Source organism: Homo sapiens, chromosome 4 (assembly GCF_000001405.40).
Source record: "Homo sapiens chromosome 4, GRCh38.p14 Primary Assembly".
Taxonomy (NCBI): Eukaryota; Metazoa; Chordata; class Mammalia; order Primates; family Hominidae; genus Homo; species Homo sapiens.
This window is the reverse complement of record NC_000004.12, coordinates 48269946-48294347: the sequence shown is the minus strand read 5'-3', so window position 1 is coordinate 48294347 and position 24402 is coordinate 48269946. Positions and strand designations below refer to the sequence as shown.

Genomic DNA, 24402 nt, shown 5'->3' with positions numbered 1-24402 from the left:
GCATACTAAGTGCCTTTCAGAATTTCCACTTGAAGGACTGGAGGTGTAAACCTTATATATAAACATCAGGTTGTCCCCTATCTGTCGAGGATTGTTGCATTAGTCTGTTAGGGCTATATCAAACATAACAAAATACCATGGACTGGGTGGCTAAGGCCACAGAAACACATTTTTTCACAGTTCTGTAGCCTAGAAGTCCAAGATCAAGGTGTTTGATTTCTCCTGAAGCCTGTCTCCTTGGCTTGCAGACTGCCACCTTCTTGCTGTGTCACCTGGCTTTTTTACCTGGTTTTGTGCGTGTATATGTGTACACACTCCTGGTGTTTCTTTTTTTTTTTTTTTTTTTTTGAGATGGAGTCTCACTCTGTCACCAGGCTGGAGTGCAGTGGCACGATCTTGGCTCACTGTAACCTTCAACTCCCTGGTTCAAGCGATTCTCCTGCCTCAGCCTCCTGAGTAGCTGGGATTACAGGCACAAATCACCAAGCCCAGCTAATTTTTGTATTTTTAGTAGAGACAGAGTGTTGGGAACAGGCCCCCAAAAATCTGGCCATAAACTGGCCCCAAAACTGGCCATAAGCAAAATCTCTGCAGCACTGTGACATGTTCATGATGGCCATAACGCCCAGGCTGGAAGGTTGTGGGTTTACCGGAATGAGAGCAAGGAACACCTGGCCTGCCCAGGGCAGAAAACCGCTTAAAGGCATTCTTAAACCACAAACAGTAGCATGAGCGATCTCTGCCTTAAGGGCATATTCCTGCTGCAAATAACTAGCCAGACCCACCCCTTTATTTCGGCCCACCCCTTCGTTTCCCATAAGGGATACTTTTAGTTAATCGAATATCTATAGAAACAATGCTAATGACTGGCTTGCTGTTAATAAATATGTGGGTAAATCTCTGTTCGGGGCTTTCAGCTCTGAAGGCTGTGAGACCCCTCATTTCCCACTTCACACCTCTATATTTCTGCATGTGTGTCTTTTTTTCCTTTTTTTTTTTTTTATTGATCATATTTGGGTGTTTCTCGCAGAGGGGGATTTGGCAGGGTCATAGGACAATAGTGGAGGGAAGGTCAGCAGATAAACAAGTGAACAAAGGTCTCTGGTTTTCCTAGGCAGAGGACCCTGCGGCCTTCCGCAGTGTTTGTGTCCCTGGGTACTTGAGATTAGGGAGTGGTGATGACTCTTAACGAGCATGCTGCCTTCAAGCATCTGTTTAACAAAGCACATCTTGCACCGCCCTTAATCCATTTAACCCTGAGTGGACACAGCACATGTTTCAGAGAGCACAGGGTTGGGGGTAAGGTCAAAGATCAACAGGATCCCAAGGCAGAAGAATTTTTCTTAGTACAGAACAAAATGGCGTCTCCCATGTCTACTTCTTACTACACAGACATAGCAACAATCTGATTTCTCTATCTTTTCCCCACATTTCCCCCTTTACTATTCGACAAGACCGTCATCGTCATCATGGCCCGTTCTCAATGAGCTGTTGGGTACACCTACCAGACGGGGTGGCAGCCGGGCAGAGGGGCTCCTCACTTCCCAGAAGGGGCGGCAGGGCAGAGGCGCCCCCCACCTCCCTCCTGGACGGAGCGGCTGGCCGGGCGGGGGCTGCCCCCCTACCTCCCTCCCGGACGGGGCGGCTGGCGGGGCGGGGGCTGCCCCCCCACCTCCCTCCCGGTCGGGTCGGCTGGCCGGGCGGGGGCTGCCCCCCGCCTCCCTCCCAGACAGGGCGGCTGCCGGATGGAGACGTTCCTCACTTCCCAGACGGGGCAGCTGCTGGGCAGAGGGGCTCCTCACTTCTCAGACGGGGCGGCTGCCGGGCGGAGGGGCTCCTCACTTCTCAGATGGGGCGGCTGTCGGGCAGAGGGGCTCCTCACTTCAGACGGGGCGGCCGGGCAGAGACGCTCCTCACCTCCCAGATGGGGTCTCGGCCGGGCAGAGGCGCTCCTCACATCCCAGATGGGGCGGCGGGGCAGAGGCACTCCCCACATCTCAGACGATTGGCGGCCAGGCAGAGATGATCCTCACTTCCTAGACATGATGGCCAGGAAGAGGCACTCCTCACTTCCCAGGCTGGGCAGCCGGGCAGAGGGGCTCCTCACATCCCAGACGATGGGCGGCCAGGCAGAGACGCTCACTTCCCAGACCGGGTGGCGGCCGGGCAGAGGCTACAATCTCGGCACTTTGGGAGGCCAAGGCAGGCGGCTGGGAGGTGGAGGTTGTAGCTAGCCGAGATCAAGCCACTGCACTCCAGCCTGGGCAACATTGAGCACTGAGTGAACGAGACTCCATCTGCAATCCCGGCACCTTGGGAGGCCGAGGCTGGCAGATCACTCGTGGTTAGGAGCTGGAGACCAGCCCGGCCAACACAGCGAAACCCCGTTTCCACCAAAAAAAATATACGAAAACCAGTCAGGCGTGGCGGCGCGCGCCTGCAATCACAGGCACTGGGCAGGCTGAGGCAGGAGAATCAGGCAGGGAGGTTGCAGTGAGCCGAGATGGCAGCAGTACAGTCCAGTTTCGGCTCGGCATCAGAGGGAGACTGTGGAAAGAGAGGGAGAGGGAGACTGTGGGGAGAGCAAGAGGGAGACCGTGGGGAGAGCAAGAGGGAGAGGGAGAGGGAGAGGGCATGTGTGTCTTTAATTCCTCTAGCGCCGCTGGGTTAGGGTCTCCCCAGCCAAGCTGGTCTTGGCAACAGAATTTCACCATGTTGGCCAGGATGGTCTTGATCTCCTGACCTCATGATCTGCCTGCCTCTGCTGGGCAGGGTGGCTCACTCCTGTAATCTCTTTATCTTCTTATAAGGACGCCAGTCCTATTGGATTAGGACCCCACACTTAGGATGTCATTTAACCTTAATTACCTCCTGACAGTTCCCATTTACAAATACAGTCACTTTGGGGGTTACAGCTTTAACCTATGAATTTTGGGAGGACATAATTCAGCCCATCACAGCTTCCCTTGGAAATGTTACCTGGAGGCCTGGGGTTGGTTCATCAGTGTAAAGTGACTGGAGATTCTGATTTAGATGAATTCAGAGACAGGAGGAAAGGACGTGAGTTGGGGCTTCAAATACTTTTGCCTTCACTTCACCCCTTCTCAATTCAAAGTTGGACCATATTATCTGTCCATCTAAAACCACCCAGCTTAATCCTTCTCAGTGGGTTAGGAACACAGCATTTTTTTTTTTTTTTTTTTTGAGACAGAGTCTCGCTCTGTCACCCAGGCTGGAGTGCAGTGGTGCAATCTCAGCTCACTGCAAGCTCCGCCTCCCAGGTTCTCCTGCCTCAGCCTCCCGAGTAGCTGGGACTACAGGCGCCCGCCTCCATGCCTGGCTAATTTTTTGTATTTTTAGTAGAGATGGGGCTTCACCATGTTAGCCAGGATAGTCTCGATCTCCTGATCTCGTGATCCGCCCGCCTCGGCCTCCCAAAGTGCTGGGATTACAGGCGTGAGCCACCACGCCCGGCGAGTTAATGTTAATTCTAATGGTTGTTCTTCTGTGTTAGGTTTAAGTCAATATAGTTTTAATATTCTTTTTATTTTAAATATTTAATTTAATGTGATTTTTCTCTCCGTGGCTTTTTTATTTTGCAAGCCCAAGGTAATGAATGTTGCATGCCAGAGTCTGAAAACTTAAATACCTACAGGATCTGACAGGTAAAATAAATATCAATGAGTAAAGTGAACAGGGAGTAATAAAATAAACTCTAGAATAGAGTAGTGGGGACCGTAACAAATGTATTACAATGCCCTGCCTAAAGGGGGCAGCAGCTACTGATTCCCAGCTAACAGTTGCCAAGCAGGAATATGGACGTGAATTTCAAGGAAAACTGAAGAGGCTGGGTATGTACAGTTGCCTAAATACTAGCGTGGCGGTCAAGATCAGACTCTGGAGCCAGACAGCCTGAATTTGAATCACAGGTCTACTAATTACATTAACTATGTAATCTTGAGCAAGTTACCTAATAACTCTGACCATCAGTAGAATGGGACTAATGATTGTACCTATGCCACAGGGTGGTTATGAGGATTAAATGGATCAACTGCATAGGATCACACTTAGCATTAAACACTCAATAAATGTTGGCTATTGTCATTATTAGCTATTAATTAAAAAATCTAATTAAACTTTTAATTTTGAGATAATTATAGATTCACATCTGGGTTGTAAGAAATAATCAGAGAGTTCACATTTCCCAGTTTTCCTTTGCAAAACTATAGTACAACATCACAGCCAGGAGGTCAATATTGATACAGTCAAAAAAGGACATTTCCATCTCCATAAAGGTCACTCATGTTACCCTTTTATAGCCATAGCCACTTCCATCTTGCCCCACCCCTTCAGGAAAACCTAGCAACCACGAATCTGTTCTCCACTTCTACAGTTTTGTCATTTCAAGAATGTTATGTAGATGGAATCATATAGTATGTAACCTTTCTTTATTGGCTTTTTTAAATGTTTATACATTTGGAATTAGTGGATTTTTTTGTCATTAAAATTGTTACCACTGGTAACATGTGACAAGCACACCACAATTCTCCCTATCTTGTGAAGTTGTTTTTTTAAATCGCCTTGAACAAAAAGTTTTTTTTTTTTTGTTTTTGCTTTCTGAAATTCACAGAAGCCTAGGAGGACTGGGGTAAGTGGAATAAACTAGAGAAGGGAGACATTGTTTGTATTTCCTTTATACTGTGAAGTTACATGCATAAAAGCATAATCCTCTGAAGATTTATCTAAGTTGTTGTGTGGATCAATAGTTTGTTACTTTTTATTGCTGGGTTGATATTCCTTAGTATGATACACAGCACACATTTTGTTTAACCATTCACCTTTAGAAGGGCACATAGGTTTTCCCAGACTTTGGCTATTAGGAAGAAGCCTTCTATAAACATTTGTGTACAGCTTTTATGTGTGTGAGCATAAGTTTTCATTTCTCTGGGAGAAATGCCTATGGGTTCAATTGCTAGGTTGTAAGGTAGTTGTATGTTTAATGTTTAAAGAAATTGTCCAACTGTTTTCCTGAGTAGCAATACCATTTTATATTCCCACCAGCAATGTATTAGTCTCATGGCTCAAGGCAAAGTGGGAGCAGGCATTTTATGTGGAGAAAGCAGGAGCAAGGACAAGGGAATTGGAGGTGCCACACACTTTTAAATGACCAGATCTCATAAGAACTCACTATCACAAAGACAGCACGAAGCCATGAGGGATCGGCACTTCTCCGAGCCCCCCATTCAAACACTTCCCATCAGTCCCACCTCCCACCGGTCAACACAATAATTGTGTTGAACTGTGGGGACAAATATCCAAACTATATCACATAGTATACAATTATTTTTATCTATAGCAGAATATTATTTGCAAATATTCTGGTAAGGAATTTTGCATCTATTTTCATGAGGGATATTGGTCTGCAGTTTTATTTTTCAGTACTTTTTCTGGTTTTGGTATCGGGGTAATACTGCCTTATATAATGAACTGGGAAGTATCCTTTCCTATTCTGTTTTCTGGTAGAGATTATTAAAAATTTGAGTTAATTCTTTTTTAAACATTTTTTAGAATTCTCCAGTGAACCATCTGGGTCTGGAGATTTCTTTTGGGGGAGTTTTAAAATTATGTATTCAATTCCTTAATAGTTGAGTGGAAAGCGCTCAAACTATTTTTCCTCTGTTCTCACACCACAAAACAATCAGCATAGAAGACTTCTGTGACCAGTAGATTTCTCCCCAGCAAGTGAGCAATCAGTTCTGCCGTGGATACCAGCTGGGTGCCCTCCAATTCAATTCTGATGCCATCTACCTGGAGATGGCATTAGAATTCCACAGGTTGAGGGCTCAGTCCCACAAGTTAAAGGATGAGGTCCCACTTCAGATGCCAATTGCAAGCCCTAGGTTGCTTTACTTGTGCTGACCAACAAGGTTATAAACTGAGGTTCCCATGACCCTCTCTTTAAGTTTGATTAATTTGCTAGAGCACTTCACAGAACTTGGAAACACATCTGCTGGTATATCATGAAGGTTATTACAAAGGATATAGATAAGGGATTTATAGAAAAGGCATACGGGAAGGTGTGTGGAGCCTTCACGCCCTCTCCAGACACACCACCCTCCAGAACCCTCCACATGTTCTGCTGTCCGGAAGTTCTCCATACCTCATCAGTCCCCTTGGGCCTTCTGTAGAGATTTCATTGGATAGAAATGATTGAAGCATGGACAATCCTGTAGAAATGTGTTTGGACAAAAGAGGATATGAATTAACACTAATTGAGCGGAGGAACACAGCAAGGCCCGTCTATTTAGATTCTTGGCCTCTCTGTGTAGCATTTCTTCCTTCTGGGTATGGGACAGGACCTCTCCTAAAATGTAGGTCTGATAGTCTACAATCTGATAGGGTAGGTCAGAGGATTTCTTTATGGTCAACTCCAAGACTGAAAGGCAGAGGAAGATTCCTGCCTTGGGGAGAAAAAGGAACAGGGGAAAGGAAGGCAGAAGGTTAGAGAGGGAGATTTTGCTTTCTGAGGCCTAAAGTGCCCCAACATTGTAACAAAAGACTGTAACAAGGGCAATGGGAGTTAGCCGGGAACACTGGATAAAAACCAATATATGTATCATAATATCACAATAGTTATAGGGCTTTTCAACTCACTTATTTCATATTGGTTTAGATGTGGTAATTTGTACTTTTAAAAGGATTGGTTGATTTTATCTGCATTGTCAAATTTATGTGTGTAGAGGTGTTTATAGCAGTCTCTTATCACCCATTTGATTTCTGAAGAGTCTCTAGTGATAGCTTCTGTTTCATTCCTGATTTTGGTAGTTCGGGTCTTCTCTCTTTTTATCCTGTAGTATCTTGCTAGATGTTTGTCAATTTTAGAGACTTCCTAAAATAACCAGTTCTTTCACTGATTTTCTCCATTGCTTTTCTATTTTTAATTGCATTGATTTATCTTTTATCTATATTATTTTTATTAATTTTTTATTTTATTTATTCTTTTATCTTTATTATGTCCTTTCTTCTGTTTGCTTTGGATTTATATTACTTTTCCCTTTCTAGGTTCTTACAATGGGAGCTTAGATTATTGAAACTTTTTCCTCTTTTCTAATGGATGCTTTTCCTGCTATAAATTTATCCCTCAACACTATTTAGCTGGTATCCTACAAAATTTGATATGTTATATTTTCATTTTTATTCAATTCCAAGTATTTTTTTCCCTTAAGATTTCCTCTTTAATCCATGGATTATTTACAAGTGTGTTGTTTAGTTTCCAAGTATTTGTTTGGAGATATTCTTGTTATCCTTCCATTTTTTAAAATTATGCCTTAAGTTCTGGGATACATGTGCAGAACGTGCAGGTTTGTTACATAGGTATACATATGCCATGGTGGTTTGCTACACCCATCAACCTGTCATCTACATTAGGTATTTCTCCTAATACTGTCCCTCCCCTTGTCTCCCATCTCCCAACAGGCCCCGATGTGTGATGTTCCCCTCCCTGTGTCCATGGGTTCTCATTGTTCAACTCCCACTTATGAGTGAGAACATGTGGTGTTTGGTTTCCTGTTTGTGTGTCAGTTTGCTGAGAATGATGGTCTCCAGCTTTATCCATGTCCCTGCAAAGGACATGAACTCATCCTTCTATATGGCTGCATAGTATTCCACGGTGTGTATGTGCCACATTTTCTTTATCCAGTCTATCATTGATGGGCATTTGGGTTGGTTCCAAGTCTTTGCTGTTGTGAATAGTGCTGCAATAAACATAAGTGTGCATGTGTCTTTATAGTAGAATGATTTATAATCCTTTTGGTATATGCCCAGTAGCGGGACTGCTGGGTCAAATGGTATTTCTGGTTCTAGATCATTGAGGAATAGCCACACTGTCTTCCACAATGGCTGAACTAATTTACACTCTCACCAACAGCATAAAAGCATTCCTATGTCTCCACATCCTCTCCGGCATCTGTTGTTTCCTGACTTTTTAACAGTTGCCATTCTAACTGGCATGAGATGTGTGGGGAAAAGAAAGAGCGATCAGACTGTTACTGTGTCTATGTAGAAAGAAGTAGACATAAGAGACTCCATTTTGTTCTGTACTAAGAAAAATTCCTCTGCCTTGAGATGCTGTTAATCTGTAACCCTACCCCCAACCCTGTGCTCCCTGAAACCTGTGCTGTGTCAACTCAGGGTTAAATGGACTAAGGGCTGTGCAGGGTGTGCTTTATTAAACAAATGCTTGAAGGCAGCATGCTTGTTAAAAGTCACCACCACTCCCTAATCTCAAGTACCCAGAGACACAAAACACTGCGGAAGTCCGCAGGGACCTCTACCTAGGAAAGCCAGGTATTGTCCAAGGTTTCTCCCCATGTGATAGTCTGAAATATGGCCTCGTGGGAAGGGAAAGACCTGCCCGTCCCCCAGCCCAACACCCATAAAGGGTCTGTGCTGAGGAGGATTAGTAAAAGAGGAAGGAACACCTCTTTGCAGTTGAGATAAGAGGAAGGCTTCTGTCTCCTGCTCGTCCCTGGGCAATGGAATGTCTCAGTGTAAAGCTGACTGTATACTCCATCTACTGAGATAGGGGAAAACCACCTTAGGGCTGGAGGTGGGACATGCTAGCAGCAATACTGCTCCTTAAGGCATTGAGATGTTTATGTATATGCACATCAAAAGCACAGCACTTTTTTCTTTACCTTGTTTATGATGCAGAGACATTTGTTCATGTGTTTACCTTCTGACCTTCTCTCCACTATTATCTTATTATCCTGCCACATCCCCCTCTCCGGGAAATGCCCAATAATGATCAATAAATACTAAGAGAACTCAGAGGCCGATGCCGGCGGCGTGGATCCTCCGTATGCTGAACACCGGTCCCCTGGGCCCATTTTTCTTTCTCTATACTTTGTCTCTGTGTCTCTTTCTTTTCCAAGTCTCTCGTTCCACCTAATGAGAAACGCCCACAGGTGTGGAGGGGCAACCCACCCCTTCAGAGATGGTATCTCATTGTGGTTTTGATTTGCATTCCTCTAATGACCAGTGATGATGAGCTTTTTTTCATTTGTTTGTTGGCTGCATAAATGTCTTCTTTTGAGAAGTGTCTGTTCATATCCTTCACCCACTTTTTGATGAGGTTGTTTTCTTCTTATAAATTTGTTTAAGTTCTTTATTGATTCTGGATATTAGCCCTTTGTCTGATGGATAGATTGCAAAAATTTTCTCCCATTCTGTAGGTTGCCTGTTCACTCTGATGATAGTTTCTTTTGCTGTGTAGAAGCTCTTTAGTTCAATTAGATCCCATTTGTCTATTTTGGCTTTTGTTGCCATTACATTTGGTGTTTTAGTCATGAAGTCTTTGCCCATGCCTGTGTCCTAAATGGTATTGCCTAGGTTTTCTTCTAGGGTTTTTATGGTTTTAGGTTTTATGTGTAAGTCTTTAATCCATCTTGAGTTAATTTGTGTATAAGGTGTAAGGAAGGGATCCAGTTTCAGTTTTCTGCATATGGCTAGCCAGTTTTCCCAACAACATTTATTAAATAGGGAATCCTTTCCCCATTGCTTGTTTTTATCAGGTTTGTCAAAGATCAGATGGTTGTATATGTGTGGTGTTATTTCTGAGGGCTCTGTTCTGTTCCATTGGTCTATATATCTGTTTTGGTACCAGTATTATGCTGTTTTCATTACTTACTGTAGCCTTGTAGTATAGTTTGAAGTCAGGTAGCATGATGCCTCCAGCTTTGTTCTTTTTGCTTAGGATTGTCTTGGCTATGTGGACTCTTCTTTGGTTTCATATGAAATTTAAAGTAGTTTTTTCTAATTCTGTGAAGAAAGTCAATGGTAGCTTGATGGGGATAGCATTGAATCTATAAATTACTTTGGGCAGTATAGCCATTTTCATTATAGTGATTCTTCCTATCCATAAGCATGGAATGTTTTTCCATTTCTTTGTGTCCTCTCTTATTTCCTTGAGCAGTGGTTTGTAGTTCTCCTTGACCAGGTCCTTCACATCCCTTGTAAGTTGTATTCCTAGGTATTTTATTCTCTTTGTAGCAATTGTGAATGGGAGTTCACGCATGATTTGACTCTCCGTCTATTATTGGTGTATAGGAATGCTTGTGATTTTTGCACATTGATTTTGTATCCTGAGACTTTGCTGAAGTTGCTTATCAGCTTAAGGAGATTTTGGTCTGAGATGATGGGGTTTTCTAAATATACAATCATGTCATCTGCAAACAGAGATAATTTGACTTCCTCTCTTCCTATTTGAATACCATTTATTTCTTTCTCTTGCCTGATTGCCCTGGCCAGGACTTTCAATACTATATTGAATAGGAGTGGTGAAAGAGGGCATCCTTGTCTGTGCTGGTTTTCAAAGGGAATGCTTCCAGCTTTTGCCCATTCAGTATGATATTGGTTGTGGGTTTGTCATAAATAGTTCTTATTATTTTGAGATACATTCCGTCAATACCTAGTTTATTGAGAGTTTTTAGCATGAAGCGGTGTTGAATTTTATCAATGGCCTTTTCTGCATCTATTGAGATAATCATGTGGTTTTTGTCATTGGTTCTGTTTATGTGATGGATGAAGTTTGGTGATTTGCATATGTTCAATCAGTCCTGCATCCCAGGGATAAAGCCGACTTGATCATGGTGGATAAGCTTTTTGATGTGCTGCTAGATTCGGTTTGCCAGTATTTTATTGAGGATTTCCGCATCAATGTTCATCAGGGATATTGGCCTGAAATTTTCTTTTTTTGTTGTGTTTCTGTCAGGTTTTGGTGTCAGGATGATGCTGGCCTCATAAAATGAGTTACGGAGGAGTCCCTCTTTTTTTATTGTTTGAAATAGTTTCAGAAGGAAAGGTACCATCTCCTCTTTGTACCTTTGGTAAAATTCGGCTGTGAATCTGTCTGGTCCTGGGCTTTTTTTGGTTGGTAGGCTATTAATTACTGCCTCAATTTCAGAACTTGTTATTGGTCTATTCAGGGATTAGATTTCTTCCTGATTTAGTCTTGGGAGGGTGTATGTGTCCAGGAATTTATCCATTTAGTCTAGATTTTCTAGTTTATTTGCATAGAGGTGTTTATAGTATTCTCTGATGGTGGTTTGTATTTCTGTGGGATCAGTGGTGATATCCCCTTTATCATTTTTTATTGTGTCTATTTGATTCTTCTCTCTTTTCTTCTTTATTAGAATGGCTAGCGGTCTATCTATTTTGTTAATCTTTTAAAAAAACCAGCTCCTGGATTCATTGATTTTTTTGAAGGGTTTTATCTGCCTCTATCTCCTTCAGTTCTGCTCTGATCTTAGCTATTTCTTGTCTTCTGCTAGCTTTTGAATTTGTTTGCTGTTGCTTCTCTAGTTCTTTTCATTGTGATGTTAGGGTGTCGATTTTAGATCTTTCCCTCTTTCTCCTGTGGGCATTTAGTGCTATAAATTTCCCTCTAAACACTGCTGTAGCTGTGTCCCAGAGATTCTGGTACATTGTGTCTTTGTTCTCATTGGTTTCAAAGAACTTATTTATTTCTGCCTTAATTTCGTTATTTACCCAGTAGTCATTCAGGAGCAGGTTGTTCAGTTTCCATGTAGTTGTGTGGTTTTGAGTTTCTTAATCCTGAGTTCTAATTTGATTGCACTATGGGCTGAGAGACTGTTTGTTACGATTTCCTTTCTTTTGCATTTGCTGAGGAGTGTTTTACTTCCAATTATGTGGTCAGTTTTAGACTATGTGTGATGTGGTGCTGAGAAGAGTGTTTACTCTGTTGATTTGGGGTGGAAAGTTCTGTAGATGTCTGTTAGGTCTGCTTATTCCAGAGCTGAGTTCAAGTCCTGAATATCCTTGTTAATTTTCTGTCTAGTTGAGCTAATATTGACAGTGGGGTGTTAAAGTCTCCCACTATTATTGTGTGGGAGTCTAGGTCTCTTTGTAGGTCTCTAAGAACTTGCCTATTGAATCTGAGTGCTCCTGTATTGGGTGCATATATATCTCTTCCTGTTGCATTGATCCCTTTACCATTATGTAATGCCCTTCTTTATTTTTTGATCTTTGTTGGTTTAAAGTCTGTTTTATCAGAGACTAGGATTGCAACCCCTACTTTTTTTTTTTTCTTTCCATCTGCTTGGTAAATATTCTTCCATCCCTTTATTTTGAGCCTATGTGTGTCTGTGCATGTGAGATGGGTCTCCTGAATACAGTACACCGAAGGGTCTTGACTCTATCCAATTTGCCAGTCAGTGTCTTTTAATTGTGGCATTTAGCCCATTTACATTTAAGGTTTATATTGTTATGTGTGAATTTGATCCTGTCATTATGATGCTAGCTGGTTATTTTGCCTGTTAGTTGATGCAGTTTCTTCACAGTGTTGATAGTCTTTACAATTTGATATGTTTTTGCAGTGGCTGGTACCAGTTTTTCCTTTCCATGTTTAGTGCTTCCTTCAGTAGCTCTTGTAAGGCAGGCCTGGTGGTGACAAAATCTCTCAGCATTTGCTTGTCTGTAATTTTCTCCTTTGCTTATGAAGCTTAGTTTGTTTTGGCTGGATATGAAATTCTGGGTTGAAAATTCTTTTATTTAGGAATGTTGAATATTGGTCCCCACTCTCTTCTGGCTTGTAAGTTTTGTGCTGAGAGATCCACTGTTAGTCTGATGGGCTTCCTTTGTGGGTAACCCGACCTTTCTCTCTGGCTGCCCTTAACATTTTTTTCCTTCATTTCAACCTTGGTGAATCTGATGATTATGTGTCTTAGGGTTGCTCTTCTCGAGGAGTATCTTTGTGGTATTATCTGTGTTTCCTGAATTTGAATGTTGGCCTGTCTTGCTAGGTTGGGGAAGTTCTCCTGGTTAATATCCTGAAGAGTGTTTTCCAACTTGGTTCCATTCTCCCCGTCACTTTCAGGTACACCAATCAAACGGAGGTTTGCTCTTTTCACATAGTCCTATATTTCTTGGAGGCTTTGTTCATTCCATTTCATTTTTTTTTTCTCTAATCTTGACTTCATGCTTTATTTCATTAAGTTGATACTCAATCTCTGATATCCTTTCTTCTGCTTGATCAATTCAGCTATGGATACTTGTGTATGCTTCACAAAGTTCTCATGCTGTGTTTTTCAGCTCCATCAGGTTATTTATGTTCTTCTCTAAACTGGTTATTCTAGTTAGCAATTCCTCTAACCTTTTTTCAAGGTTCTTAGCTTCCTTGCATTGGGTTAGAACATGCTTGTTTAGCTCAGAGGAGTTTCTTATTACCCACCTTCTGAAGCCTCGTTCTGTCAATTTGTAAAACTCACTCTCCATCCAGTTTTGTTCCTTTGCTGGCAGGGAGTTGTGATCCTTTGGAGAAGAAAAGGCATTCTGGTTTTTGGAATTTTCAGCCTTTTTGTGTTGATTTTTCCTCATCTTTGTGGATTTATCTACCTTTGGTCTTTGATGTTGGTGACCTTCAGATGGGGTTTCTGTGTGGACACCCTTTTTGTTAATGTTGATGCTATTCCTTTCCGTTTGTTAGTTTTCCTTCTAACAGTCAGGCCTCTCTGCTGCAGGTCTGCTGCAGTTTGCTGGAGGTCCACTCCAGATCGTGTTTGCCTGGGTATCACCAGCAGAGGCTGCAGAACAGCAAAGATTGCTGCCTGTTTCTTCCTCTGGAAGCTCTGTCCCAGAGGGACACCCACCAGATGCCAGCCAGAGCTTTCCTGTATGAGGTGTCTGTCGACCCCTGCTGGGAGGTGTCTCCCAGTCAGGAGGCTTGGGGGTCAGGAACCTACCTGAGGAGGCAGTCTGTCCCTTAGCAGAGCTCAAGCGCTGTGGTGGGAGATCCACTGCTCTCTTCAGAGCCAGCAGGCAGGAATGTTTAAGTCTGCTGAAGCTGTGCCCACAGCCACACCTTCCTCCAGGTGCTCTGTCCCAGGGAGATGGGTGTTTTATCTATAAGCCCCTGACTGGGGCTGCTGCCTTTCTTTCAGAGATGCCCTGCCCAGAGAGGAGGAATCTAGAGAGTCAGCCTGGCTACAGCGGCTTTGCTGAGCTATAGTGGGCTCTGCCCAGTTTAGACTTCCCGGTGGCTTTGTTTACACTGTGAGGGGAAAACCACCTACTCAAGCCTCAGTAATGGCAGACGCCCCTTCCCCCACCAAGGTCGAGCATCCCAGGTCGACTTCAGACTGCTGTGCTGGCAGCGAGAATTTCAAGCCAGTGGATCTTAGCTTGCTGGGTTCTGTGGGGGTGGGATCCACAGAGCTAGACCACTTGGCTCCCTGGCTTCAGCCCCCTTTCCAGGGGAGTGAACAGTTCTGTCTCGCTGGCATTCCAGATGCCACCAGGGTATGAAAAAACACTCCTGCAACTAGCTTGGTGTCTGCCTAAATGGCCACCCAGATTTGTGCTTGAAACCCTGGGCCCTGGTGTTGTAGGCAACCTAGGGAATCTCCTCGTCTGTGGGTTGTGAAGACTGTGGGAAAAACATAGTATCTGGGCCAGAGTGCACCATACCCCATGGCACAGTCCCTTACGGCTTCCCTTGGCTAGGGGAGGGAGTTCCCCAACTCCTTGTGCTTCTAGATGATGCACCATTCCACCTTGCTTCAGCTCACCCTCTGTGGGCTGCACACACTGTCTAACCAGCCCCAGTGAGATAAGTTGGGTACCTCAGTTGGAAATGCAGAAATCACCCACCTTCTGTGTTGATCTCACTGGGAACTGCAGACCGGAGCTGTTCCTATTCAACCATCTTGCCAGCCACCTATCCTTCCATTTTTGATTTCTGGTTTGATTTCACTGTGATCAGAGGACACAATGTATATGATTTCAGTGATTTTAAATTTGTTGTGGTTTATGACCTAGTATAGGTCTAGCTTGGTATATAATATTCTGTGGATACTTGAAAAGAATGTGTATCCTGCTGTTAGGTGGAGTGTTCCGTAAATGTCAGTCAGATCCTGTTGATTGGTGGTATTGTTGAGTACCCTTGCTAGTTTTCTGTTTACTTGTTCTATCAGTTGTTGAGATGGGGATGCTTTTCAAATTCCACTTTGGTTTATCTATAGTGCTTCTGAGTATATCTCTTTGTGTAGCTTTTTAAATGATTTGTTTTACACTATTAAAACTTTCTTTTTTTTTTTTTTTGAGATGGAGTCTCACTCTGTCTCCAAGGCTAGAGTGCAGTGGCATGATCTTGGCTCATTGCAACCTCTGTCTCCCAGGTTCAAGTGATTTTTCTGCCTCAGCCTCCTGAGTAGCTGGGATTACAGGCGTGTGCCACTACACCTGGCTATTTTTTTGTATTTTTGTAGAGACAGAGCTTTGCCATGTTGGCCAGGCTGGTCTCAAACTCCTGACCTCAGGTGATCCACCCACCTCGGCCTCCCAAAATGCTGGGATTACAGGCATGATCCACTGTGCCCGGCCACACTATTAAAACTTCTACTGGTGTTATCATTTTTCCATCTGAGGGAAATATGGAAATTTTAGCTCCCTATAAAAGAGCTAAGGCCGGGCGCGGTGGCTCACGCCTGTAATCCCAGCACTTTGGGAGGCCGAGGCGGGCGGATCACGAGGTCAGGAGATCGAGACCATCCCGGCTAAAACGGTGAAACCCCGTCTCTACTAAAAATACAAAAAATTAGCCGGGCGTAGTGGCGGGCGCCTGTATTCCCAGCTACTTGGGAGACTGAGGCAGGAGAATGGTGTGAACCCGGGAGGCGGAGCTTGCAGTGAGCCGAGATCCCGCCACCGCACTCCAGCCTCTGGGTGACAGAGCGAGACTCCGTCTCAAAAAAAAAAAAAAAAAAAAAAAAAAAAGAGCTAAAATTTACCCTCCTCCATTTATAAATATCCTAAATATTTTCTTTGCATACTTTTAGAACCTCTCAGTGTTAAAATTTATTTTTTTAAATTATTATTATTATTATTATTTTGTAGAAATGGGGTCTCACTATGTTCTCCAGGCTGGTCTTGAACTGCTGGGCTCAAGTGATCTTCCCACCTTGGCCTCCCAAAATTCTGGGATTACAGGTGTGAGCCATTGTGCCTGGCCTTGGTGTTAAATTTTTGCTTCAATTATCCATTATAATTTACAAAAGGCAGAGGAAAATGAATATTTACTCTATTTATCTGTATTATTGTTTACTGTGTTTTTCCTTCTTTCCTTTCAAGATTCCATCTTTTATTGATTTCTTCCTGTTTAGAGAACCTCCTTTCACCATTCTTTTTGGGTAGATCAGCTAATGATAAGTTGTCTTCATTTTCTTTTATCTGAGAAAGTCTCGAGTTTCTCTTTATTTATTTAGAGACAGAATTTTTGCTTTTGTTGCCCAGGCTGGATTGTAATGGTGTGATCTCAGCTCACTGCAACCTCCACCTCCTGGGTTGAAGAAATTCTCCTGCCTCAGCCTCCCGATTAGCTTGGATTACAGGTGCCCATCACCACGCCCGGCTAATTTTTGTATATTTTACTAGAGATGGGGTTTCACCTTGTTGGTCAGGCTGGTCTCAAACTCCCGACCTCAAGTGATCCACCCAACTTGGCCTCCCAAGGTGCTGGGATTACAGGCATGAGCCACTGTGCCCAGCTGAATTTCCCTTAATTGTTGAGGGATATTTTCACTAGATATAGGATTCTAGGCTGGCTGACAGTTATTTTATTTCAGCATTCAAAAAATTCCCTGCCACTTCCTTCTTGTATTTCCTGATGAGAAATATGCTGTCGTTCAAATTGTTTTTTTCCCTATTGGTAAGGTGTTATGTCTCTCTTGCTGCTTTCAAGATTTTTTCTTTATCTTTAGTGTTAAGAAGTTTGACTATGATGTGTCTCAGTGTGGATTTCTTTGTGTTTATCCGGTGTGAGGGTAACTCAACTTCCTAGTGTATAGGTTTATGTCTTTTGCCAAATATGAAGAGTTTTCAGCCATTATTTCTTTGAGTACTTTTTCCAGCCCTGTCCTCTTCCTCTGAGACTCTGAAGACACAAATGGTAGATCTGTTGTTATAGTCCCATAGGACTATTTTTTTTTAAATCGCTGTTGTTCAGATTAGGTAGCTGCTATTGCTCAATTTTCCAGTTCACTGATTCTTTCCTCTGTACCATCTATTCTGCTGAACAGAGGTTTTTTTGTTTTGTTTTGTTTTGTTTTGTTTTGAGATGGAGTCTCGCTCTGTCACCCAGGCTGGAGTGCAGTGTTGCGATCTCAGCTCACTGCAGCCTCCACCTCCCGGGTTCAAGCGATTCTCCTGCCTCAGCCTCCTGAATAGCTGGGACTACAGGCACGAGCCACCACACCTGGCTAATTTTTGTGTTTTTAGTAGAGATGGGGTTTCACCATGTTGGTCAGGATGGTCTCGATCTCCTGACCTCGTGATCCATCCATCGCAGCCTCCCAAAGTGCTGGGATTATAGGCATGAGCCACCGTGCCCGGCCTGAACAGAGTTTTTAATTGTAGTTATTGTACTTTCACTTACAAAATTTCCATTTGGTCTTTTTTTACTTTCTATTTCTTCACTCAAACTTTCAATTTCTTTGCAGAGACTATTTACTTCATTTGTTTCAAGCATGTTTCTAATTGTTCATTGAAGCAGTTTTATGATGATGATTTAAAATCTTTGCCAGATAATTCTAATATCCCTGTCATCTTGGTGTTGGCATCTACTGATTATCTTTTTCATTCAGTTTGAGATCTCCCTGTTTCTTGGTATAGTGAGTTATTTTCAATTAAAACCAGAAAATTTGGCGTATTCTGTTTTTAGATTCTGGATTTTATTTACGCTTTTTGTTTTAGCTGGCTTCTTCTGACACTGTCTTGGCAGGGGAAGGAGGGCATGCAGGTCATCTCCTCTATCTACAGCCAGGTAGGGGTAAAAATCCAGGTTTCCCACTATTCTTCCATTGACACTTGGGGGTGGGGTGCTCTTGATTACTGCTGGATGCGGTTGGGAGTTCCATCCCAATGAATGGATACAAGAAGTTAGGCCTCCACTGGTACCTCCCTGACTGGGAGGAATAGGAATGTCTTGTTACTATTCTCTGTGTGGCCTTTGGTGAAAACATGGGGTAGGGGTGTGTGTGGTCTCAATAACTGGTTTCGTAATCTTGCTTGAATTTATTTTGAAAACTTATTTTGGCTTTAAGTATGTATAAAATGCTAGACACATAAAGAATAAATAAGTAGCTTTATATTTATATATTTAAGTGAATTAAAATGAAAATGTTTGTTTAAAAGGGCTTCCTACTTGATTCAGGTTTGAGAAATACCCACATGAGTGAATGCATGGCTGCACACTCACATCATGAGTCCCTGGAATTGTTCGTACTTCCCTCCAGGTTCTTCCACCTACACAAAAAGACAGAAGGAGCTGGGCCCCTGACACTATGGAACATCATGCCAGCCTGACCCTGATGCTCTCTATTGAAGGCTCTTGTTAGTTTCCTATTGCTGCTGTAATACATTGCCACAAATTTATTGCCTTACAACAATACAAATGTATTCTCTTACTGTTCTGGGGGTCAGAGTCCAAAATCAGTTTCACTGGGGTGAAATCTAGGTGTCTGGTTTCTTTTGGAGGCTCTAGGAGAGAATCTGTTTTCTTGCCTTCACCAGCTTTTAGAAGCTTTCTGCTTTCTTTGGCTCGTGGTCTCTTCCTTCATCTTCAAAGCCAGCAGTGTAGCATCTTCTAATCTCTCTCTTACTCTGACCTCTACTTATCTCATTATACCCTGCCTTCTCCCTCATATAAGGACCCTTGTAACTACATTGGGCTCACCTAGATAGTGCAGAATAATCTCATTTCAAGATCCTTCACTTCATCCCATCTACAAAGACCGTTTTGCAGCATAAGTTATACTCACAGGTTCTAGGGAATTAAGACATGGACATCACTGGGAGGGCCTTATTCAGCCTACCATAAGGGGGTGCTGTTACTTGCAGCTAAATCAAATTCTGAATGATTGACCTTCCACCAGAATGTAAGCTCCCCTACAACAGGGAGTTTTGTCTGGTTTGTTCACCAATGTTTTCTCAGTCTCCTATCGTAGTGATGGGTGCATTTTCATGGCTGCCACCCTCGCAAAGGAGGTAACTTCAAAAAGATCTGGAGATAGAGCACTCCAGGCAGAGGAAACAGCCTGTTCAAGCCCTCAGGCCAGAGAACTCTTTTTATTTATAGGAATAATACTCAATATATCATTTTATTGTGACAGAACAACTCAGCTTTTATAAACTATCAAACTGTTGAGATAATGGACCCCTTTGAAACTCTCTGTCTCTTTTGCTAAGCACAATCTGGTTTTACTTCTACATCTTCTTTTCTGGCTCTAACATCGAAAAAATTTTCAATTACTATCAAACCAACATAAAAACATTATACAAGAAATATATGTATAAACATCATTCATGATTCAAAGATCATTCCCTTTGGCAGCTTTGAAAGGTTAAAAATGTAAACCCTGGAGTTATACTGTTTTATGTTCACATCTGGGCTTTGCCACTCAATAACTATGATTTTGGGCTATTACTTAGACCTTCTCTGCCTTTGTTTCTTCATCTGTAAAATGAAGATAACAATAGTCCACCTCACACAGCTGTGAGAATTAAATGAATTAATCTAATATGCTTAGAAAGGATGCTGGCACATCCCCTCAATAACTGTTAATCATAATTCTTACTTTTCAGTTTTCCTCCACATAATTTGTATTTAGTTGCAATTACAGGTACTCAAAGCATTGTGTTCTACTTTTAAAAATATAATCTTGTTCATAAGTTTTATTTCCTATCTCTTTTTCATTAACATAGGTAATCTTATTTTATTATTTAATTAATTAATTAACTTATTTAGAGACAGGTTCTTGCTCTGTTGCCCAGGTTGGAGTGCAGTGGCACGATCTCAGCTCACTGCAACCCTGCCCTCCTGGGCTCAAGCAATCCTCCTACCTCAGCCTCCCGAATAGCTGGGACTGCAGGTGAGCACCACCAAGCCTGGCTAATATTTGTATTTTTAGTAGAGATGGAGTTTCGCCATGTTGTCCAGGCTGGTCTTGAACTCCAGAGCTCAAAAGATCCACCCGCCTCAGCCTCCCAAAGTGCTGGGATTATAGGTGTGAGCCACCATGCCTGACCAACATAGGTAATTTTAAATGACAGCTTGACATTCCATACTGTTAATATATTTTACTTAAACATTTCCTTATTATTGGACATTTATTTTATTATTATAATGATCTTATAAATATACTTTGCATATGATGCTTTTTATTTCTTTTGAATTATTTATTTAGCATCTCTTCCCAGAAATATGATTATTGATTCTGTGTCCAATATTTGAAACTCCTTCCTTCTATGCAATAGTTCTAAAGAAGCAACTACTTTCAGCACATGATGGAAGGAGAAGCAGACATATCATAGGATCACAATGAAGTCATCTTCATGTAGGAACAGACTCTCCATGGAAGACTGATAAGGTCTGCATTATCGTCATTGTCATCATCATTTATTCATCAACAAATGTATTAATTATCTATGATGGGCCAGTTTCCTTTTCAGTAGGAAGATGGTTACAAAATAAAACCAGTGACTTGCACAAAAGAATGCAAGAAGCTGGCCGGGCATGCTGGCTCATGCCTGTAATCTCAGCACTTTGGGAGGCTGAGGCGGGCGGATCACAAGGTCAGGAGTTCAAGACCAGCCTGGTCAACATGGTAAAACCCCATCTCTACTAAAAATACAAAAATTAGCCAGGCGTGGTGGCAGGCACCTGTAATCCCAGCTACTCAGGAGGCTGAGGCAGGAGAATTGCTTGAACCCAGGAGGCAGAGGTTTCAGTTAGCCGAGATTGTGCCACTGCACTCCAGCCTGGGCAACAGAACAAGACTCTGTCTCAGAAAAAAAAAAAAAAGGCAAGAAGCTATAAATACAAATATATACACACATATATTTTTGCAAACCTTCCAGGTTGATTCTGCATGTCTTCTTCTGTACCATGTGGAATCTACATGTAAGTTAAAAAGAGGCATTTTCGTCTCTCAAGGAACTGAAATTATGTCAACCTGATACTGATCATCTAAACAAATAAACTTTATGGAAGCCATAGCGATATCTTGTAAGAAGGGAGAGTCTTGTCTCCCAAGAAGTTTATATTAATACCTTTTTCTCTGTATCTTGATTTTCTTAAAATAAAGATGGTTTTACTAATATTGTTTGAGTCTTCTTTTTGGAGGCAGGGGGAGAAATCTTTTTAAGTCAACTACTAGATTCCTTCTTTTGACTAGGGACGAATGTAAAAGTTTGAATTATACAGGCCCAAATGTAGTATTCTGTTTTCACCTAAAAAATAAAAATTAAAGAAAGACTAAATCTTTTTTATTAATCCCACCACATTCTGAGTTCAGTTTTTACACCTTTTCCTTAATGTAGTTGAAGTTCCCTAATGGCCTCTTTTTTTTGTCTGTCTCTCTGTCTCTTTCTCAACACCTTGCTGAAAAAAATTGCCATTGTTCTCTATTATGTGATCTATGGATGGTATACCTGTGGCAATTGCCTACTTAAACTGTATGATTGATAGTGTAACAAATGTCTTATTTAGAAAACTATAACTTTATGAAAATTACCCCAACTATTAAGAATTATGTTGGATCTAGGTGTTTTATTTACAGATCTGTTCTCTTTGGCTTTTCTGAGAGTTAGTAGGGACAATACAGACACTTTTCTCTCTTTTAATTTAAACTTTATGAAGAAATTATGTAAGGGTCTGGGTTTTCTGCCTTTTCAAACTTCATAAACATTGAGATCCTCATTACCATTGTCAAGAATATGAGCTACCATCACCTACCAAGAACAGGCAAGGCGAATTGGAAACTGGTTCTTCTAACCATCATAATATCAGTTAATTCCTTAAGGCAGTAGCTCTTACCTTTTTGGGATCAGTCAATATGATAAAAGTTCTAAGTCCTCTCACTTAAAAATATACGTACATAAGCATTTTTCTTGGGAGAAAATTAACTGTATTACTATAATTATATATCTATAACTCTCTTTCCTGCCCCCCAACACAGTTTTTTTGCATAGAGTTTCAGATGGTTTATGGTCCTGTCCCCTCAAAGTACATCTGTGCTAGGGGAAATTACGTTAACTAGCCAAAACAAGTACCTGAATGGGACAAGAGGCAGGAGAGACTCGGGTAGGGAGGAGAGAGTAGATCATAAAAAAGAAATTTTACTAGATTCATTCAAAGTACTAGTCATTATACTCAAAGTCCTCACTGGAGAGAGGATTTGTAATCAGAAGGCCTTGGTCCAAATCTGTGCCCTCTTCCCATCTCCCCTTTTCCTAGATAGTTGTCTGACTTTTGGAAAGTCATTGAAACCTCTCTGACCCTCAGTTGTTGTTGCTGTTATTGTTTTCCCTGTTAAATCAGGGTTCCCCAACCCGCAGGCTGTGGACCAGTACCGGTCTGAGGTCTGTTAGGAACCTGGCCGCATAGCAGGAGGTAAGCGGTTGAGCGGTGGGCAAGGGAGCAAAGCTTCATCTGTATTTACAGCCACTCCCCATTGCCTGCATTACGGCTGAGCTCCGCCTCCTGTCAGATCAGCCTTGGCCTTAGATTCTCTCAGGAGTGCAAACCCTAGTGTGAACTGTGCATTCGAGGGATCTAGGTGGTGTACGCGTTACGAGAATCTAATGCCTGATGATCTGAGGTGGAACAGTTTCATCCTCAAACCATCTCTTCCTGACACCTGTCCATGGAAAAATTATCTTCCATAAAACCAGTCCCTGGTGCCAAAAAGGTTGGGGACCACTGTATTAAATGGAATCTTGTTAGACTTCTCAGGGTTATTACAGTGATCAAAGGAGAAATGATATAGGAAGGCACTACTTTTAAGTCCCAAGCAAGCATGAGGTGTGATAAGTATCAAAGCACTTGCCATTCCCTTAGCTTCAGCCTTGGGTTGGCCGTCTGTCCTATCATTCAGGTCTCAGCTCCACTGTTACCCCAGAGAAGCCTCCAGTAACATCATATCTAAAGTAGCCTCCCTCTCCCTTTCACTCTCAATTCCATCACCCTGCTTTATTTTAGTCAAGACACCTCACTTACGAAGTGGTTTAATTTTTTGCTTGCCTGTTGATCATGTGAGACAAGTAACAAACGTTAAGAAGCCATGCTTGCTCATTTCTGCTTGTCAGCATAATTTCACACAGCCCCTGACTCTGTGACCACCTGCAGCTGGCGGAAAGATGCTTTGAAGACAAAACGAGATAGAACACAGGATCCCCCACGTCTCTTGCCTGAGCCCTTGCCTTTTACTGCACCTAAGATAAAGTCTGATGAGGTTAGTGATTATGCTTCTGTAATCTATAAACAGATGTACTCTTAAGCCCAAACTGTGATGTGCTTTTACACATACTGAATCTTCACCAACTGTTTCTAAATTGAGAAGGGAAGTTCTGTGTTGGAGGGATCTGCTTGAATCTCTCTAAAAGACTCCTCCAGGGCTGTAGGCCTCCATCTCTAGTCCTCAGTAAGACTTCTGAATAAAACTAACTTTCATTCTTTAACAGCTTGATTTTTAAATTTTAGTCGACAATCACTTATTGTCTTTCTCCTACAGTAGAATAAAAGTTTCCTAATGGCAGAGTCCTTGCCTCATCTTCCCCAGGCATGGGAACAGTTCCTGGTATAGGATGCACACAGATTTTGCTGATTCAGGATAGCCGTGAATAACAGTGGAGACTCCAGAGGAGGAAGACCTGGATTTGAAGCCCAGCTTCTCAACCCAGCTTCTCAATTTACTAGTTGGGTGACATTAGGCAAGTTATTTAGCTTCTCTCTGCCTCACTTGCACCGTATGTGAAAAGGGGGATTCTGATAATATACGCTTCAGAGAACTTTTAGTACATGTGAAGTACCTAGAACAGTGCCTGGCACACAGTTAAGTCTTACATGTGTTTTCTACTCTTCAGTGAGTTTAATGTTAACACATTAATAGTGCACGTGACCCTCTAAGTGTATCAGATATGCACTGCTCCCTCGGGTTTCACAGGAAAACCACTTACTCTTTTGGTAAAACAGGCTGCATGGCTCCACTGCTCCGCGTCACCCGCCTGGCCTCCCACCGCTTAGCGGAAGGGGAGGTGCGGTTCCTAATTCCGACAGGCACGTAGTCTTCCACAAGTGGCACTACTCGGGGCTCTCCTGGCTAGGGGCGTTCGAGCCACTAGGGGCGGGTCTCCTGGGATGGGAAGACTGGGGCTAGGGAGGTTCAACGCCGCCCCCGGAAACCTAAGGGACGCTCCCTGAAACTCACCGGGACGCGCTTCCGACCCATTCCGGTCACTTGCCTTGAAATCGCCGCAGGGCTGCGCAAACCTGCCACCCAGGGCCCAAGCGACCGGGGCGGGGCGATCGAGGACTGGGCGGGCCTGCAG

At 42.7% G+C, this 24402-nt stretch overlaps 1 long non-coding RNA gene across 5 annotated transcripts, besides 1 other annotated feature; it reads right to left on the bottom strand.

Moving 5' to 3' along the window:
* Positions 1-1321: 1321 nt before the first annotated feature.
* LOC105374445 (uncharacterized) lies at positions 1322-24376 on the bottom strand. 5 transcript variants are annotated; one of them, XR_925286.3, is made up of 3 exons: positions 24031-24376; positions 14668-14769; positions 3548-6227 (listed from the first exon to the last, which is right to left on the bottom strand). It is a non-coding gene; the product is annotated as an uncharacterized LOC105374445 (long non-coding RNA). The 5 variants fall into 5 exon arrangements; XR_007058110.1 differs by lacking the exons at positions 3548-6227; positions 14668-14769 and adding an exon at positions 1322-2547; XR_007058111.1 differs by lacking the exons at positions 3548-6227; positions 14668-14769 and adding an exon at positions 1322-2547 and having other exon boundaries at positions 24282-24376.
* Positions 2007-3002: an enhancer, noted in NCBI's record as "H3K27ac hESC enhancer chr4:48293363-48294358 (GRCh37/hg19 assembly coordinates)". NCBI's record gives its function as "activates a minimal SCP1, AML or CMV promoter by ChIP-STARR-seq in primed H9 embryonic stem cells {active_cell/tissue: H9 hESC(primed)}" and the evidence as "EXISTENCE:reporter gene assay evidence [ECO:0000049][PMID:30033119]".